The sequence below is a fragment of the Homo sapiens genome, chromosome 22, assembly GCF_000001405.40.
Source record: "Homo sapiens chromosome 22, GRCh38.p14 Primary Assembly".
Taxonomy (NCBI): domain Eukaryota; kingdom Metazoa; phylum Chordata; class Mammalia; order Primates; family Hominidae; genus Homo; species Homo sapiens.
Genome location: NC_000022.11, coordinates 34,074,153 through 34,093,831, shown reverse-complemented (window position 1 = coordinate 34,093,831; position 19,679 = coordinate 34,074,153). Strand labels below are relative to the sequence as shown.

Here is a 19,679-nt window from a genome sequence, read left to right as displayed (position 1 = left end):
GCAAGTGGCCAATAACGTTAGCCATTGTTGTGTGCAAGCCAGTGTAACACAGTGGTTAGGAGTATGAACCCTGAAGTCAGACTACCTGGTTATTACAAGAGTAATGGATTAGTTTGTTAAGGTTGCCATAACATAGTGCCATAAACTGAGTAACTTTTTTTTTTTTTTTTTTTTTTTTTTTTTTTTGAGACAGAGTCTCACTCTGTTTCCCAGGCTGGAGTGCAGTGGTGCAATCTTGGCTCACTGCAACCTCCACTTCCCAGGTTCAAGAGATTCTCCTGCCTCAGCCTCCCTAGCAGCAGGAATTATAGGTGCATGCCACCACATTAGGCTAATTTTTGTTTTTTTTAGTAGAGACAGGGTTTTACCATGTTGGCCAAGCTGGTCTCGACCTCCTGACCTCAAGTGATCTACCCACCTTGGCCTCCCAAAGTGCTAGGATTACAAGTGTGAGCCACCACACGTGGCCTAGACTGAGTGACTTACAAAACAGAAATTTATTTCCTTATAATTCTGGAGGCTGGAAGTCTTAGATCAAAGTGTCAGCAAAATTGGTTTCTTCTAAGGCCTTTCTCCTTGGCTTAAGGATAGCCATCTTCTCCCTGCGTTCCCATATAGCCATCCTTCTGTGTGTGTCTGAGTCCTAATCATCTCTTGCTTCTTTTCTTTGACAGAATCACTCTGTCATCCAGGCTGGGGTGCAGTGGCGATCATGGCTCACTGCAGCCTCAAACTCCTAGGCTCAAGCAATATTCCCACTTCAGCCTCCTGAGTAGCTGGGACTAGAGGTGCATACAGCCACACATGGCTAACTTTTTAAAAATGTTTTTTGTAGACACAGGCATCTTTCTATGTTGCCCTGGCTGGTCTCAAATTCCTGACCTCAAGGGATCCTCCTGCCTCAGCCTCCTGCAGTGCTGGGATTACAGGCATGAGCCACTATGCCCAGACCTCATCTCTTCTTCTTATAAGGATACTAGTCATAGATTAGAGCCTGCCCTAATGACCTCATTTTAACTTAATCACCTCTTTAAAGGCCCTATCTAGCTCCAAATATAGTTACGTTCTAAGATACTGAGGGTTCAGGTTTCAACATATGATTTTTTTTGAGGGAGATCCAATTCAGTCTGTAGTATTTAATGAAGTTAATAGATGTAATATATGTAAAATACTTTAAATTGATTCCTGCCACACAGTTTGTTCTGTAAGTGTTGTTATTATAATCATTATCTGTAATTTTAATAAATTTTATTTCCATGTCTTTCTCTGGCACATAGTGTTCAATAAATACGAGCCTTGTTGTTCATTTATTCGAGAAATATGTATTGATCACCTATTGTGTGTTAGCCACTGTTCTAGGTGAAGGGACGGAGCTATGAATAAGATGCATAAGGGGCCTGTCTTCAGGAAGTGTCATTATTATCATTATTATCATTATTATAGTTATTATATCTTAGGCATTTCATTATCTGCCAATCACAAAACTTTACTTTTAAAGCAAAGTTGTGAGTTTAGCAAGTGAGTATATATGTTAGCTGCAAGTGATTTGTTTTTCTCAAATGTCCATAAACCATCTCTTTGCTGTGTTGGAACTCCATGGAATTAAAGTTCAGTTCAGTGTGTTATAGTGTTCAGGTTACACTTTATTATAAATGGGGGCACGGCTGGGTGGGGCGGCTCACGCTGTAACCCCAGCACTTTGGGAGGCTGAGGCGGGTGGATCACCTGAGGTCAGGAGTTCAAGACCAGCCTGGCCAACATGGAGAAACCCCATCTCTACTAAAAATACAAAATTAGCTGGGCGTGGTGGTGCATGCCTGTAATTCCAGCTACTGGGAAGGCTGAGGCAGGAGAACTGCTTGAACCTGGGAGGTGGAAGTTGCAGTGAGGGAGATCGCACCACTACACTCCAGCCTGGGCAACAAGACCGAAACTCCGTCTGAAACCTGTCTCTACTAAAATTACAAAAAGTTAGCCGGATGTGGTAGTGTGCGCCTGTAGTCCCAGCGACTCAGGAGGCTGAGGCAGGAGAATCGCGTGAACCTGGGAGGCGGACGTTGCAGCGAGCCGAGATGGCGCCATCTCACTTCCTCCCCAGTGACAGTGCGAGACTCCATCTCAAAAAACAAACAAAACAAAACAAAACAAAACAAAAAACGGGGACAAAACATGCCGATGTTTGTTCTTACATTCCTTGACGTCTTGATTTCTAGGATCACTGACTTTGGCTCTGAGACCATCTGACATTCCTTCTAGCACCCTGGGATGCAATCTTTGAGGACTCGGGTTGTCACCTCATTTGGAGCAACCGTCTTCCCCCTTCCTCTCCGATGCCACCTGTGATCTCACCTGTACGGGGCTGCATTCTACCTCCACGCTGCTTATTCACCTTTGTCCGTTCATATCTTGAATTAGGCAGAACCCCTTTCATTTAAAAGCTAAAGAAACCCAGTTTCAAACCCCAACTAGAAAACAAAAGGATTTTATGGACTAATGTAAATAAAAGCCTAAGGTACTCCAGGAGAACTGTCCAACATCTGTCTCCATCTTTTGGTTCTGTTTTCCTCTCTACTGGCTTCAGTCTCACATGGGCTTGCCTTTGATGGTTACAAGATGGTCCCCAGCACGCCGTCTTCATTCTATGAGCTTGAAGCTCCAGCAGAAAGAGGACTTCTTTTTCCCAATGTTCCAGCAGAACTACAGGGCGTATTCTCATCAGCTTTGTCCGCATCATAAATCTGATCTCAGACTATTCACTTGATTCTGATGGGTCAGATCTGAGCATGAGCTGAAGTCACCTGTAGAGCCTCATGACTGAAGAGGAGAGAATGAGTGGTCCCCTGAAGATTCTGTTGTTAACACCAAAGGAAGGAGGAATGGATACAAAATTAGAGGAGCAAAAATTAGATGTCCATAATAAATCATATTTCCCACGTGGATATGGATGGAGACAATTCAGAATTGCATCGTCCTGAAGTTTATTTCTAACATGTGAGATGACATCATTTTTTTATTCCTCAAATAGTGGGCTTCTCTTTTTCCTTTGCCTTGCTTCATGTAATGCTGGCAGCATCATTTTTGTATGGTTCAGGATATGTAAGGATACGCTTGTTGTGAACTTTTCTCTCACATTGAAAACTCCACTTTTGAATCTGGCCACCATCTTCCAAAAACCTGAGCTTACTGGAGATTTTCCAATGGGTCTCTTAACATATCTATAAATTTTCTCCTTGTATTCATTCAATTTTTTTGAAGAAATTATATACATTCTTTCTTTCGACAATTATTAACTGAGCACTTACCCAGGAAATACTATCGAGGAAAGTACTATTCTAGGTCCTAACACTACACCAATGAACTGGAGAGAAACCATCACTACCCTGCCAGAGTCCATACTTCAGAGGAGTGGGGAATTAGGTAGGAATAATGTAGTGTTAAAATGCTGCCTTGATCTACTTTTGAGGCCCTAGCTGGAGGCCAGTCAGTTCCTCCTTCTTGAGTAGCTGCTTTAGTCCACACCCCAACCATCTCCCTTTTAGAGGTCACATTCTGGGCCACTATACACCCACCCTAATCATCCTAGGGTCAGGGATCAGACAACCAAGGACAGCCTCTATGCCCCAGAACCCACTGGAATTATTTAAATTAGTCAGCCCTAGCCTACTTGCCCTGCCCTGCTCATTCCTTCCCACGGAAGCCACGAGAAAGGCTCTTGCCTGGGATTTCCCTCCCTCCCTCTGCCTCAGGACCACCCCATTGCTTCCCCTGCATGGGTGCTGTCTCTGCAGGGAACTTCGCATGACAAAACTGTAAAACCCTTTCCAGTTTATCTCTCCTCATCTGTGTCTGGCCTCCTCAAGCCTCACCCAATATTATATGGTTAAAACTCCGGGGAAGTTAAATCTCTAGTATTTGATATCTAGGTATGATTGCCCCAACTTCCCACTTTTGGGGCCTAGAGAAGCCCTAAAACACCATGAACTTTCTGCAAACTCTTTGTGGTTGGGATTCCTGCATCCCCACGAAGAACTTCTTTTCAAGCGCAAATCTCCTTGGTCAAAAACTCACATTCTTTATCTACATCCAAAAAAAAAAAAAAAAAAAAAATCCACTCACAACTAGTTTTTGTAAACTTGTATTGAAGGCCAGGCATGATGGCTCATGCCTGTAATCCCAGCACTTTGGGAGGCCGAGGTGGGCGGATCATGAGGTTAGGAGATTGAGACCATCCTGGCTAACACGGTGAAACCCCATCTCTACTAAAAATACAAAAAATTAGCAGGGCATGGTGGCGGGTGCCTGTAGTCCCAGCTACTCGGGAGGCTGAGGCAGGAGAATGGCGTGAACCCGGGAGGCGGAGCTTGCAGTGAGCCGAGATCGCGCCACTGCACCCCAGCCTGGGCAACAGAGCAAGACTCCGTCTCAAAAAAAAAAAACAAAGAATAATGACAACTGCTACAAGATCAAGCAAAATCAATGTGGAAAAGCGTCCACTGAATTTAGTAATGTCCCCATCTTAAGAGATCTTCTCATGAGATATTTTAGTAGAGTGGTAAAGACAGATAAGAGTGAGATGCAGATTGACCAGGTGCAGTGGCTCACGCCTGTAATCCCAGCACTTTGGGAGGCTGAGGCGAGTGGATCACTTGACGTCAGGAGTTCAAGACCAGCCTGGCCAACATGGTGAAACCCCATCTGTATCAAAAAATACCAAAAAAAAAAAAAAATTAGCCAGGCATGGTGGTGCGCACCTGTAATCCTAGCTACTCAGGAGGCTGAGGTAGGAGAATCACTTGAACCCAAGAGATGGAGGTTGCAGTGAGCCAAGATGGCACCACTGCACTCCAGCCTGGGCAACAGAGTAAGACACTGTCTAAAAAAAATAATAATAATAAATAAAATAATAATAATAAAAAAAGATGCAGACTATGTGGGAGGTGAGAAAACAAATGTCTTCTCTAATGAAGAGTGGAAGGAAAATGTGGTGGGAGATGCATCAGCTGCCCCAGATTTTAGCCTTAGGGTCATGCCTAAGTGGCACAGAGAGAGACAAAGGTGCCAACCTTGCTATGGGAGTGTATCAATGGATGAGCTGGAGGTAGCGCTCTGGGCTCCTGTGGGCTGCATCTGTGGCCAAGGGACCATTAATACCTACATGCTCCAGTAAGAGGACTCAGAGTTTCCAAGGGAAACTTCTGCAGAGAAGCAGAAGTCTAAGGATGGAGCAAAGCAAATACAGAAGCAAATAACCAAGATCACAGACTCCAGCACACATATCCACTCATAAAAAACGGAGGCAGCTGAGTGCCAGGGCTCACGCCTGTAATCCCAGGACTTTGGGAGGCCAAGGTGGGCAGATCACAAGGTCAGGAGTTCGAGACCAGCCTGACCAACATGGTGAAATCCCGTCTCTACAAAAAATACAAAAATTAGCTGAGCATGATGGTGTGTGCCTGTAATTCCAGCTACTCGGGAGGCTGAGGAAGGAAAATTGCTTGAACCTGGGAGGCGGAGGTTGCAGTGAGCCCAGATCATGCCACTGCACTCCAGCCTGGGGGACAGAGAAAGACACTGTCTCAAAAAAAAAAAAAGAAAGAAAGAAAGAGAAAAAAATCTTTGCAAATTCAAACTAATGTTGTGTGATGTAACAGATTTGAATAAGCAAGTATACAATAGCAGACTATGGTAGTAGAGCCTGCAAGAAGGGAACCAAGGATTGCTAGGGAATACTAGATAAGAAAATACAGCCAGTGGCAGGAAAACCACCACTATAGCCAATGGAGAACTTAAAGAAACACACACACATACTCTGGCCAGGCACAGTGGCTCATGCCTGTAATCACAGCACTTTTGGAGGCTGAGGCAGGCAGATAATTTGAGGCCAGGAGTTCGAGACCGGCCTGAACAACATGGCGAAACCTCATCTCTATTAAAAATACAAAAATTAGGCTGGGCGCAGTGGCTCACACCTGTAATCTCAGCACTTTGGGAGGCCTAGGCGGGCAGATCATGAGGTCAGAAGATCGAGACCATCCTGGCTAACACGGTGAAACCCCATCTCTACGAAAAATACAAAAAAATTAGCTGGGCATGGTGGCATGCACCTGCAGTCCTGGCTACTCGGGAGGCTGAGGCAGGGGAATCGCTTGAGTCAGGGAGGCAGAGGTTGCAGTGAGCCGAGATCACGCCACTGGAATAGCTTGAACCAGGGAGGTGGAGGTTGCAGTGAGCCGAGATCACGCCACTGCACTCCAGCCTGGGTCAGAGTGAGACTCTGTCTCAAAAAGAAAAAAAAGAAAAGAAAAAAGAAATACAAAAATTAGCCAGGCATGGTGGCATGTGCCTATAATCTCAGCTACTTGGGAGGCTGAAGCATGAGAATCGTTTGAATCTGGGAGGCAGAGATTTCAGTGAGCCAAGATTGTGCTGCCACACTCCAGCCTGGGCAACAGAGTGGGACTCTGCCTGAGGAAAAAAAAGAAAGAAAGAAAAGAAACACACACACATGCTTATACACACACATATTGACACAGATAGAGAAAGAGGCACAGGAGGAGTAGGATGAGGTCTGAGCAGGCAAGGGTTAAAAACAGCCATCCAAGGAGAAATCAAGCACTACTTCTTCCATCGCCCTTGGAGACTAGGAGAACAGTAAAGACCCTAGGAAGTTGGAGCGTAGCGATCAGGGTATGTGGCTTACAATGTAGAATGGGAGAAACAGAAACAGATGGGCAGCTCCAAATGAAGGAGGTGAGCACTCACCAGGTGTCTAGACTCACATACTAACCACACTTAGTGAAAGTGCCATCCACAAAGAAAATTGCTTCCAGGCTTAAAAACCATGGTTCAGTAACCTGCCTGAACCACCATCCTATATTTGGTCTAGGCTAATGGGGATTCCTAGACAAACCTTAATATTCTTGAGGAAGGGAGAAACACAAAATTTTGCCAAAGAAAGAAGTGTAAGGAGAAAATGTTTAGTCACTCAACCACTCAACAAATATTTCCTGAGCAGCTACTATATGCCAGAATAAAGCTGTGAACAGAGCACAAGCATTTGATCTTGTGTTTTTCTTCTCTTCATCTCAATGTGAGTTTCCTCCCTGTCCACCAGAAGCATGCATATTGCCCAGAGATCTAAGATTGTTAGAAAACGTGAAAAAAAACAAGAAGTTGCAAACAGTAGGAGACTGATGAATAAAAGGATTTCTCCCATCCTGCCCAATGAATAGTCACTCTTAGAGAGTCTGTCCCAAGAATCTGCTTTCCTGAACTCAGAAATATACTTTGACTTAAACTGATGACTCTTTTTGGGTAATCAAACAAGGACTGAATTGAACACATTGGCTGAAAATTCGAGGTCCCACTGAACAGATGTCGGAGCTATTTTCCTTCCCCTACCCTAGTTAGGAGGTTGGTTAACTAGGAAGCCCAAATGAAAGCTGCTTTCATGGTATCTGGAATATAAATTGACATTCATGATCTGTTCTGCTAACGGCATTAACTTTATAATAGCTCTGAAGTGATTCTAACGTATAAGTAGGATTGAGAACCACTGCTATATAGCCCATGGAGAACTTACAGAAACACACACACATACTTACACATACACATATTGACACAGATGGAACAAGAGGCACAGGGTGAGTTGGATAAGGTCTGACCAGGAAAGGGTTAGAAACAGCCATCCAAGGAGGAATCAAGCATCACTAATTCTATCTCCCTAGGAAACTAGGAAAACAGTAAAAGCCCTACAAAGAGTGTAGTGATTGGGGATGTTACCAAGAGTGGACAATAAGTTCATCCATTATGCATTTCTTCTAAAAGTAATTGCTCCTACTTTCATTAAATCGTTATTTGAACACTTCCTACCTCCTACATACACTGCATACTCAAAAAACGAAGGACAAGCCTCCACCCTCAAATGGCTCACAATCTAGTGAGGAAGAGAGGCAAATAAATGGTCTGCAGTGGCACAGCTCAATTGAGCTGTGATAAGAGGAATTTGCAGAGAGGGAATGCAGCCAATGTCGAGGGAATTAGGTAAGGCTTTCCAGAAGAACTGACACCTGAACTGAATCTCTTGTCACCTTAATCTTGAAATTTCTCTTCTGTAGAAATGTGAAAAATAAACGTCTGTTGTTTAGGCCACCCTGTCTACGGCATTTTGTTGTAGCAACCCAGACAGATGACTACAGTCTAGCAGCAAAGAGAGGGAATGAGCATTCCAAGTAGCAGGAGCAGCACTCAGGGATGAGAGGGTGCAGGCGCAGTAGCAGAGTCCCAGAGGGATGAGAGAGTGTGGCATGTTCTGGAGCTATAAGCACTATTGATGCCTATAGCAATGATGATGACAATTAGAGAGAACTTCAAGACAGCTGATATCCAAGAACTAAACTGCCTAGTACCAACTCTAATTGATATGTGCATTCAAGGAAGGGCAAGGTCAGTGAACACCAAGGGCCAGGGCAGGGGGTGTTTCTTGGAGGGGGTATGGCAGCAGAGAGGCCCACTGTCCAAGGCTCAGAATGGAATCCAATACATTTCCATTTGCCTTCAACTGTAAAGTAAGCATGACCCTCCTCTCACTTCCCCTTGGGAAGTTTGCTTTCCAGAGGAAGCTGTTTAAGGACATGTATTTGCTTGAGGCAGATTGAAAAGGTGATGGCTGTGGTGAATGTGCATGGAGCTCATTCAAATGGGATGGATTCAAGTACATTTTGGAAAAAGGATTTTCAAACGCCTTTGCCAGGCCGGTTATACAGAGGCAGCTTGACTGATCATCTGACACTCTTTCATGTGTTGGGTATACATCTATAGCAACCTTTTAGGGCACTTACCCAGCAAAAAAGTAAAATTATACATTGAAGTGGAGGCGTGATATGCAAGAGAGAGACAACAGCATCTCTATTAAACCACTTAGCACCACCATCCTCAGCCACTTGGGGCCGGAAAGATGGTCTGTTGAAGGGTGGTGTTTAAAAAAACTCATTCCAGGCATGTACAGAAATAGTTTTTTTCTAACAATTAAGAAACATTTTCAGATATTTTGCTGTGGTGGGGTATTTCAGAAACATTTATGTCTTTAAATGCCAGATTCCTCAGACTGGTTAATGCAGAAGTATTAAAAAGAAATGTATTTTTTAAAAATTTGTTTCAGAATGCACTCAGCAGAAGTGGTTCAGCATGGGGAATTTTTCATTTTTATTCAACCTCTTAATACAACCAGGAGCATCTTGGGACCCTCAAGGACCTTAATGATTAATTCTCTACTTACTTCTATATTCTCTTCTCTAGAAACTCTTCAGGTGACCTGCTAAATTCAAATACTGTCAAAATGTCAATAATCAACCAAATATTTCATGGTGTTGTGTGCATTTGTTCTATGCTGTTCCCTCTACCTAGGATGAATTTTTATTACTGTTTGCCTGGTGAATCCTTTTCTAAACCCTTTGAAATAAACAGAAACATGGCTTCCTCCAGACTCCCAAGATAAAAGGTATTAATTTCCTCTCTTCTGCAGCAACAGCTTCGAGTTCAGCCCCCACTCTTGGCCATTTGGGCAGAATGCGTGAGCTTCTGCTCCTTTCCTTCCTACCTCATAAAGATGGAGTCAGAAACAGCTTCAGAACATGACCCTTCATTCCCACCTACTCCAGACATACACCCTCCTTAGCTCTGCCCAATGCTTATTCCAAAGCTCCATGACCCTTCATTCCCACCTACTCCAGACACACACCCTCCTTAGCTCTGCCCCATGCTCATTCCAAAGCCCCTTCAATCTCAGGTGGGTGTGTTCCTTACCTGGCAAGTGTCACTTCTGTGTATGTTCTCTTGATGGACACATCAGCACAAAGATATTCCTATAAAGATATCTGACAGTTATTGAACAGTTCATGCAAAGAGCTTTTCCAAGTTTTCCCTATGTCTTAAAAATTCCACAATGTGGAATTTTTCTGATTTCCAATATTTATAGGTCTGGAACCACATGGGCAGGGCAAACCAAAGGATCAGCCTCCTATGGGCCAACTGGCCAAGAGTAAGGACTGAGCTATAGGCATTCTGATGAGCACTTACTAGAGCTTGCCACAAAGTATGTGAAAGCACAGAGGATGGTATTGCTGATCTTGCCTGGAGGACAAAGAGGGCTTCAGAGAGGAAGTGCCCTGTGCCATCATTAGATTTATGACAATGTATCCCGCCTGGCAAAATGAGGCTTAGTTGTGATGTTTGGTAGTACATAGATAAACATTTAAGTTTTAAAATGTGTCCGTTTAGAGATAATAGATAGTATAGGCGGAATGTGGATCTCACAAAAGTAGAACAATTCAGGTTTATTACATGCCATTCCACTTGCTTCATTGACAAATGGCATTTTGCCTTCACTATGAGAAGGTCATTAATCTAAGTATTTTCAAATACTAATTTATTTGATCCTCATAACAACTCTAGGAGGTAGGTATTATACTGTTTTTGGGTCCATAAGACATCAGAGAAAACTAAGTCACAGAAATGTTAAATAACTTACCCAAGGTCATAGAGCTAGCAAGTGGGAGGACTTGAACCCAGGCAGTTTGGGGCTAGTACCTATGCACCTGGACAACATAATATGCTACCTCCTATGCAGATATGTGTGGAAAAACCATAAGCTCAAGAGAACGAGGGCATATATCTTTTTCTCTTCACTGTGTATCCAGCCTTTACATTAGAGCATGGCTCATAGTTGGAGCTAAATATTAAATGCCTTTGAATAAATGGATGATAGACAATAGAAGAACATTTATTTGGTTATATTGATCACACTATTGTATCTGTGTGTTTACATATCTGTCTTCCCTTCAGACCTTCATTCTTGTCACATAGTATTTGCTCACTAAATTCACTCATTCAAAAGACATTTATTTGCTGCCTTTGTGCTTCAAAAGTACGTATCATGTAATAGAAGATCATAAATGGTACTATAATGCTGCTCTAATAAATCGGGAGAATTTTTAAAATCAAAGATGGTTTAGAACTATAGTTGTGTACAGTCATACATCATCACAACAGGGGTACCTCCCTTTAAGAAAACCAGATTTTGGCTGGGCGTGGTAGTGTATGCCTATAATCCTAGCACTTTGGAGGCCGAGGCGGGCAGATCACCTGAGGTCAGGAGTTCAAGACTAGCTTGACCAACATGGTGAAACCCTGTCTATACTAAAAATACAAAAATTAGCCGGGCATAGTGGCACGTGCCTGTAATCCCAGCTACCTGGGAGGCTGAGGCAGGAGAATCGCTGGAACCCAGGAGGCAGAGGGTGCAGTGAGCCGAGATCATGCCACTGCACTCCAGCCTGGGTGACAGAGCGAGACCCTGTCTCAAAAAAAAAAAAAAAGAAAAGTAAAGAAAATCAGATTTTTTGTGAAAGAGAGGTTGACAGAGCAGTTATATTCCATGTTGATAGAGTTTGGGTGTTCTGTCCCTTCCAAATCTCATGTTGAAATGTGACTTCCAATGTTGGAGGTGCGGCCTGGTGGGAGATGTTTGGGTCATGGGAGCAGATCTCTCATGAAAGTTTTGGTGTTTTCCTCATGGTAATGAGTGAGTTATTGTTCTGTGAGCTCATATGAGATATGGTTGTTTAAAAGAGCCTGGAACTGCCTCCTCTCTCTTGCTCCCTTTATCACAGCATGAGAGAAGCTTACACTGAGGCCTGTAAGCTTTGTGAGGCCCTCGCCAGAAGCATGCTTCCTGTACCATGCTTCCTGTACAGCCAGAGAATTGTGAGCCAAAGTAAACCTCTTTTCTTTATATTATCCAATCTCAGATATTCCCTCATAGCAACACAAAACAAACTAATACACATACAGTTCCCCCTTTATATTGATTTACAATACATTAGGGTTCCATCTTTATATTGAGTGCACAAAAAAGCCCTTTCAAGTGATTCTACATTCAAAACTTTAACTTACACCAGCTTTATGAAGGTCAGCTCAGTGACATAAAGTGAGTGTATCCATAAATCAATCAACTTACAAGATGACACATATCTCCCAGTGATGCCCGTAAGAAAGGACAGAGAACATTCTCAACAGATTATTCATAATTCTTCTGACAAAATTATGTGATGGCTATGTTTTCAATTATAATTAGTGACATTATCTAATACAGCATGTTACAGAAGAGTTGAAAAAAAAATGAACTCTAAAGTTAGCTCCACATGGATTCGAATTCCAGTCCGCTGCTTCTGGTTGTGTGCCCTTGAACATGTGACTCTGTATTTCTTTCCTCACCAAAAAAAAAAAAAAAAAAAAGAAGGAAATTAACAATGCCCATTTGCACAGGGCATTGTGAGATCATGAAAGTCAAGTGCGAGACACACAATAGCTCTGAAATAAAAGTTCATTTCCTTTGCTTCTTTCCCCTGACCCTATACCATCTGACCCAGCAATCCCACTACTGGGTGTATACCCAAAGGATTATAAATCATTCTACTATAAAGACACATGCACACGTATGTTTATTGTGGTACAGTTCACAATAGCAAAGACTTGGAACCAACCCAAATGCTCATCAATGATAGACTGGATAAAGAAAATGTGGCACATATACACCATGGAATACTACACAGCCATAAAAAAGGATGAGTTTATGTCCTTTGCAGGGACATGGGATGAAGCTGGAAACCATCATTCTCAGCAAACTAGCACAAGAACAGAAAACCAAACACTGCATGTTCTCACTCATAAGTGGGAGCTGAACAATGAGAACACATGGGCACAGGGAGGGGAACATCACACACTGGGGCCTGACAGGGGGTGGGGGGCCAGGGGAGGGATAGCATTAGGACAAATACCCAATGTAGATGACAGGTTTATGGGTGCAGCAAACCACCACGGCACATGTATACCTATGTAACAAACCTGCACGTTCAGCACATGAATCCTAGAACTTAAAGTACAATAAAAAAAATTCAAAAAGTATCAGCTTCACATTATTAATAAGCAACACCAAATGTAGAAAGACATGCCTTGCCAATGTCTTGACCCCTTGAGTCAACCAGACAAGGATTCTGGTTGCCTAGGAGGAAGCTAAGAGGGAATAGCAATTGAAACAGAAAAATAAGGGGAACTACTCCCAAATACTAGGGCTTACTTGGGTCATTTCAGTGAGTTCCTTAAAAACTCAGCAGGGGATTTTCATTGCACTATTTCCCAGAGTGGTTGATGCAATCTCCAGTAAACTATAAATGAAATAGGCATGCACGCACATACCGAGTAGTGTGGTGTCATTTACAAGAATGTGCATCCTAGAGCCAGACTGCTTGATTTAAAGCAAGACTTCAACATGTATTAGTTGTGTGTCCTTAGTTGTGTGTATTAAACTTCTTTATGACTCAACTTTGTCATTTGTGAAAGGAAGATAAGAATAATATCTACCTCGTAAGGATGTTTGGAGAATCGAATAAAATAATGTATGTACAGCACTTAAAATAGAGCTTAACATATTGTAAGTGCCCAATAAATCCAGTATGTTATTAATATACACATTCATAAGTATTAATAGGCTTATATGAGTGGTGAAATAATGATTGATTCTCATTGCTTTACATTATTCTGTATTTTCCAAATCTATTACAACATTAGTATATTAATTTATAGTCTCATGCACGCAAAACCTTAATAGTGCCTCACATTTTGAAGTGGGATGTTTAAAACATCAGTTCAAAGAGTGGGACAGTTGGAGATTCCTACAGAGCCAATGGGTGGAATCCACAAAGAACCAACAATTGATGATTTGGTGATGTAGTCTAGAGCAATCCAGGGAGTGAGTAGCTAACAAAGCTTTTGCCCGGATGGCCTTAAACCACAGACCAAAGGAGTGAAAGTCCTTTAAAGTAGGGGTTCAGACTCAATTACCTACAGGGATGTTTTAGGTAACATGAATGAGTAAAGCCGATCTGATGTAACCAGTAAGGAGTGGTGGAACCCGGGACAACTGGACCACACTCATTCTATTTAAAGAGGGCAACCACCACCAGTTTCTGCTCACTGTGGCTATGCCGTGTTTCCAGATTTTGTAATTTTTAAAGTGAATTCAAAATTCTGGAGTTTCATGTAAAACATCCCATATTTTTTAAAATGTTGTATTTGTATGCATTCATGAGGTACAAGTGGAAATGTGTAACATGGATAGATTACATAATGGTGAAGCCAAGGCTTTTAGTATATCCATCACCTGAAAAACCAACATTGTACCCATGAAGGAATGTCTCATTACCCACCCTCCTCCTGCACCCCTACCCTTCCAAGTCTCCACTATCTGTCATTCTACACTCGATATCCATGTGTTACATGTTTAACTCCTACTTATCACTGAGAATATGCAGTATTTGTTTTTCTGGTGTCTGAATTCTTTTACTTAAGATAATGACCTCCAGTTTCATCTATGTTCCTGCAAAAGACATGATTTTATTCTTTTTCATGGCTGACTAATATTCTATTATGTATATGTGCCACATCTGCTTTATCCAAGCATCCATTAATGGACACTTAGGCTGATTTTATATCTTTGCTATTGTGAATAGTGCTGCAATAAACATACAAGTGTAGGCATACTTTTGATACAAGCATTTCTTTTCCTTTGGTAGATACTAAGTAGAGGGATTAATGGGTCGAATGGTAGTTTTATTTTCAGTTTTTTGAGGAATCTCCATGCTGTTTTCCATGGAGGTTGTACTAATTTACACTTCCACCAACACTGTATAAACGTTCCCTTTTCTCTGCATCTTTGCCAACATCTGTTATTTTTTGTCTTTCTAATAATAGCCATTCTGGCTGGTGCAAAATTATATCTCATTGTGGTTTTAATTTGCATCTCTCTGATGATTAGTGATGTTGAGCAGTTTTTCATATGCTTTTTAGCCATTTGTATGTCTTCTTTTGAAAAATATCTATTCATATCCTTTGCTCACTTTTTAATGAGATTGATTTTGTTGTTGTTGTTGAGTTGTCTGAATTCCTTATAAATTCCCAGTATTAGTCCCCTGCTGGTTACATAGTTTGCAAATATTTTTTCCCATTCTGCAGGTTTTCTGTTCACTCTGTTGATTTTTTCATTTGCTGTGCGGAAGCTTTTTAGGTTAATGTTGGAAGCTAACCGAAATTTTTTTTTAAATATTGAAAGCTAAACACAAATGTCATGAAGCCATCAGTTTACAACCAGTGCACTAAAGGCTTATCTTCAACCTAAAAAAATCTGTATGGAAAAAGAGAAGGTTCACATAAATCAACAGGATTCATGGGAAGTGTCCAGCGGACAGCGAAATAGGAAGTGGCAGAAGGACCTGGGTTCCTGATGACATTGTTGAGACAATGAACTAAACTTGGGACTGCCTACCTCCTGTCTTGTTAAGAAAACAACAAATGCTTAATGGTGTCATCCACGATCATCCAGGTTTTCTTTTATTTGCAGCCATATGCACGTTTACATATTCATACTTACATGAAGCAAAAGAAGATCAGGAACAATCTGGAGAAATAAGATGGTAGTAAGAACAGGCAATTGCCTTTGGGAAAAAAATTGTTCACTCATTCATTTTACAATTACTTATTCTGTAACCACATCTGCTGAGCTAGACCCAGAGGGTTTCAAAGATAAATCGGACTCAACCTCATGGAGCCCACAATCCAGTTGGCTTTTGCAGCTTGTCTAAGTCTACTCAGGCTGCTAGAGCAGAATACCACACATTGGATAACGTAAGTGATACTTTTATTTCTCATAGTTCTGGAGGCTAAGAAGTACAAGATCACAGTGCCAGCAGACTCAGTGTCTGGTGAGGGTCCTCTTTTTGGCTTACATATGGCCACCTTCTTGCTGTATCCTCATTTGGTGGGGAGACAGTGGGCTGCAGTCTCTTCCTCTTTATATAAGGACACTAATCCCATCATTGGGGCTCTATGGTCATGACCTAATCTAAAACTAATTACCTCCCAAAGGCCCCACCTCCAAATACCATTACACTGGAGATTAGGGCTTTGATATATGAATTCAGGGTTTGTTAGGGGTGTGGGGTGAACACAAATATTCAGTTCGTCACATGGCTCATCCTTTTAGACAAAAAGGAAAAAGAGAACTGGGTCAAAAACCAGGCAATGTGAATGGGCTGCTCACAGGTGCAATCCAGAGTACAATTTCATGCCAGGCGAGGTAAGGAAATAAATCTGTAGACCGGCCTTTGGCTGGCTGCCAAGAACATGGAGCCTGCGTACAGAAGTCAAGGACAGAGTGTGTAGACGGTGGCCCCCCATGCCTTATTTATAACCTGTTTTCATCTGGTTGCTATCTGGAAAGGCCCTGCCTCTCATCTCCTTGCCACCTTCTTGTACCATCCAATTTGACAGCATAATTTATAGTTCTCCCTTCTCAGATACTCCCTGGGCCTGAGGAAATGCAGATAAGAGCAGTGGATGACCAGGGAGAGAACTTAGGGAGGCTGGGGTGTCTGGGAGGAAGAAAAACCTGGCTGAAAATCACTCTGCCTTGTAGAGATGAGCAGGAAGCTGTTGTTTCTGCCCTCCTGTCAGTATCTCCTCCCTCTAATCTCTCCAACCATGCTCTCTGCATAGACACAAATGCCAACTGTAGGGGAAGATTGAAGCATGTTCAGCAGTCTCAGAAAGCCAAGTGAATTAATAGAAGAGGGTCAAGTGTGTCCAATAGGAAGGAACCTCCCCTCTCCCTGTCTCAGAGTCCTGATCCTCAGAAGTGGGGGTGGGCAGGTGGCACAAAGGGCAGAAAAGGTCATTTCTTCCATAAACAGCCCTATTTCCTTCTCCGAACACCCTCTCCAGGTAACCCAAAGGAAGAGATGGTCTTTGTCTTTCTCCCTCAGACCAGCATTTGCCTGAGATGGCTAAGGCTGGGCAGTGGTTAATTCATGAAAGCATAGAGAATACTGTTGTTAAGGCCCCCTCTAAAGTTCAAACATTCATAAAGTCTCTGAACTGGAAGCAAGTTTAAACACTCTCCAGCCTAACCCTGCACCCCATCCACTGCGTCAATTCATTCTGTCAAATCATTCGTTCATCCAGGCATTTCTTGAGCACCTATTTTGTGCTGTGCCAGGTGCTGAAATATAAGCAACACAGAGCCATGAACAAAACAGATGAAGAAACTTACCCAAGTGCCAAGTGGCTGTCCTACCTTAGTCTGACCAAGTAAATGAGATCTCATGACCTTCAGAGCCAGAAGACCCCTTCCTGGGACAGGTATGACTCCTCAAAGAGTCTTCCTCATTGGGCCCAAATATCCCTCTACTTTCATTCATTCTTCACATGCATTGAGCACTTACATGGGTCCAGGGCGCTTTGGGTGAAGCTTTCACCTGCTCATTGTTTCATGTTTCTCACTATTACTCTGTAAGGAAAATATTATTTCCATCTTCCAGATGGGACCTGAGCCACAGAGAGACAATGTGACTTGGCCAAGACCACCACACTGGCCGTGAAAGAGTCAAAACTGGAATTCAGGTCCTCCAACCTGAGGTCAGATACCTCGTCTGAGGCAGCTCAGACATCCTTGTTGGGTTTTGTCTGTGCAGAGGGGAGAACAACCTCCCTCACTGCGATGGATTCTGGGGGTGAAGGAGGGCTGACCCCTGTCAAGTGCAATTAATTTAAGAAGGGGCAAAGGATCTTTCTCCCATAAATATCCCGGCTTCACTGCTGCCTGGAAGCAATCTCAGCTGTTCACTAGAATCACAGAGCTATGCTTCCACTCTGCCTAAACTTGTCCTGAGGACCCCTTGGAGCCCAGGGTCACGCACTTTGCCAGATAATCCTGTAGGAATGAATTTCAAACAAGGGTGCCAGCGGGAGGAGAGGAGAGCCAGAAGACAGTGCTCTCCCTGAAACAAGCAGTGACTCACAAAGTGAGGTCAGGAGCTCCCTCCAAAATGCTCAGGCTCTCAGGGAGGGCCCAGAGGCCTTCTTTTTGCTGCTCAGTTCATCCCAACAGCCTCTCCTGCAATGTAGGGATTCAGAATCTCAGGAGTGCTTGGGTACAACTCCCTCATTTGACAGATACAGAAACTGAGGGTCAGAAGGCAAACTGCAGGCCTACAGTAACAGTCAGTGGGCTGAAGGGTCAGAAGAAGAGGTCAGGAGTTCTGAAGAAAGTCTCAGACATTGTTTGGGCAGATGTCACATCGGGTGAGTCTTTGGTAGCTGCCCAGACCTGGCCCAGGGGAGCAGCAGGGTCTCTGTGGCCATCAGGAGAAAAGGTACTGCCCAGAGTGTTCTGAAGTTACCCACTGCTGGAGTGACCTACTAGCTGTATCACCTTGTGAAATTTACTTAATGCCTTTGTTCAGCATCTTTGGCTATAAAAGGTAGATAATAATAATAATGATAATAATACCTCTGTCATTGAGTTGTGCAGATTCACTCATACAATGGTCTGAATGCTTGTATCCACCCAGTATTCACATGTTGCAACATAATCACCAATGTGATTATATTAGGAGGTGGGGCCTTTGGGAAGTGCTTAGGTAATAAAGATGGAACCCTCATGAATAGGATTAATGCCCCTATTAAAAGAGACCCAGAGATCTCCCTTCCCCCTTCTGCCATGTGAGGATACAGTGAGAAGACAGCCATCTAGGAACCAGGAAACGGGCCCTTACCAGACACCAAGTCTGCCAGCATCTTGATCTTAAACTTCTAAGCCTCCAGAACTATGAGAAAAAAAATTCTGTGGTTTATAAGCCACCCAGCTGACAGTATTTTGTCAACAGCCTGAACAGACTAAGACAACTGGAAAACTCCAAGTAAAGCACTTAGCACACAGCCTGGCCCATAGTAAGGGCTCTACTAACAGGGGCCATGATGGTAACAACAGCTGCGTGCACTGAGCACCTGTGATATGCTAGACATCACTAGTCATTTTACATGCATTATTTCAGTTCATCCCCTTGCTTCAGTGAAACCAGATGATCTGCTTTATTTCACTACCTGAGAGAAAACTGAGACCCACAGCTTCTCCAGAGGAAACTCTGATTCCAACATCAGACATCCAGTTAATGTCAGAGGCCAGATTAGAACCTGGGTATGATCAGATTCCAGAGCCTGTGCGTGTAACCACCATACCCTTCCTGCCAATGCTGCAAGGACTCAGTTTCCCAGATAAAACGCTGAGCAGATGGACCACATCCACACTAGGCTTTCTGTCCACAAATCTGTCCTTTTCTGGACTACGAACTGCCCAAGAGCATGTTATCACCCGTCTTGTTCACTACTGTATCCCCAGCACCTGGGCGCACCTGACACTGGAGTGCTCAGTGTTTGTGGGATAACTAATTGAAGGAATATAGCATCACAATCACTTGGAAGAAAAGACTGAAGGTAAAGAATGGCTGTTCACATCCACTTCTCCTCTCTCCCTGGAACACCCTCTCTCTCCCTCTTCTTTCTTTTCATTGCTGGAAATAACATAGAATCAAAGCTTTATGGAAATCTATCTCCTTCTTAATCTTCCCACATTATTTCTACTTCTGCTATATTTAGTTTTGACCAGTCATTAGATCCCTTCCATCCCTTTTCACAGCAATCTCCTAATCATCCTATGAAACCCAACTCAAATGCTGCCTCCTCTAGGAAGTCTTCTCCACTCTATTGAAGGATATCAGTTCTAGCCTTGG

General features: G+C 42.9%; 1 long non-coding RNA gene across 22 annotated transcripts in view; it reads right to left on the bottom strand.

Moving 5' to 3' along the window:
* Positions 1-19,679, bottom strand: part of LINC01643 (long intergenic non-protein coding RNA 1643) — a 201,365-nt gene that overhangs the window by 124,965 nt on the left and 56,721 nt on the right. For 20 of the 22 annotated variants that reach the window (NR_183600.1, NR_183601.1, NR_183585.1 and 17 more), the window contains exon 2: positions 9,805-9,863. The exons of 1 other annotated variant lie outside the window; for it this stretch is intronic. This is a non-coding gene — a long non-coding RNA (long intergenic non-protein coding RNA 1643). Of the gene's footprint in view, positions 1-2,597; positions 2,850-9,804; positions 9,864-19,679 lie in introns of all 22 variants that reach the window. One more of the 22 variants, NR_183602.1, reaches the window with a different exon arrangement.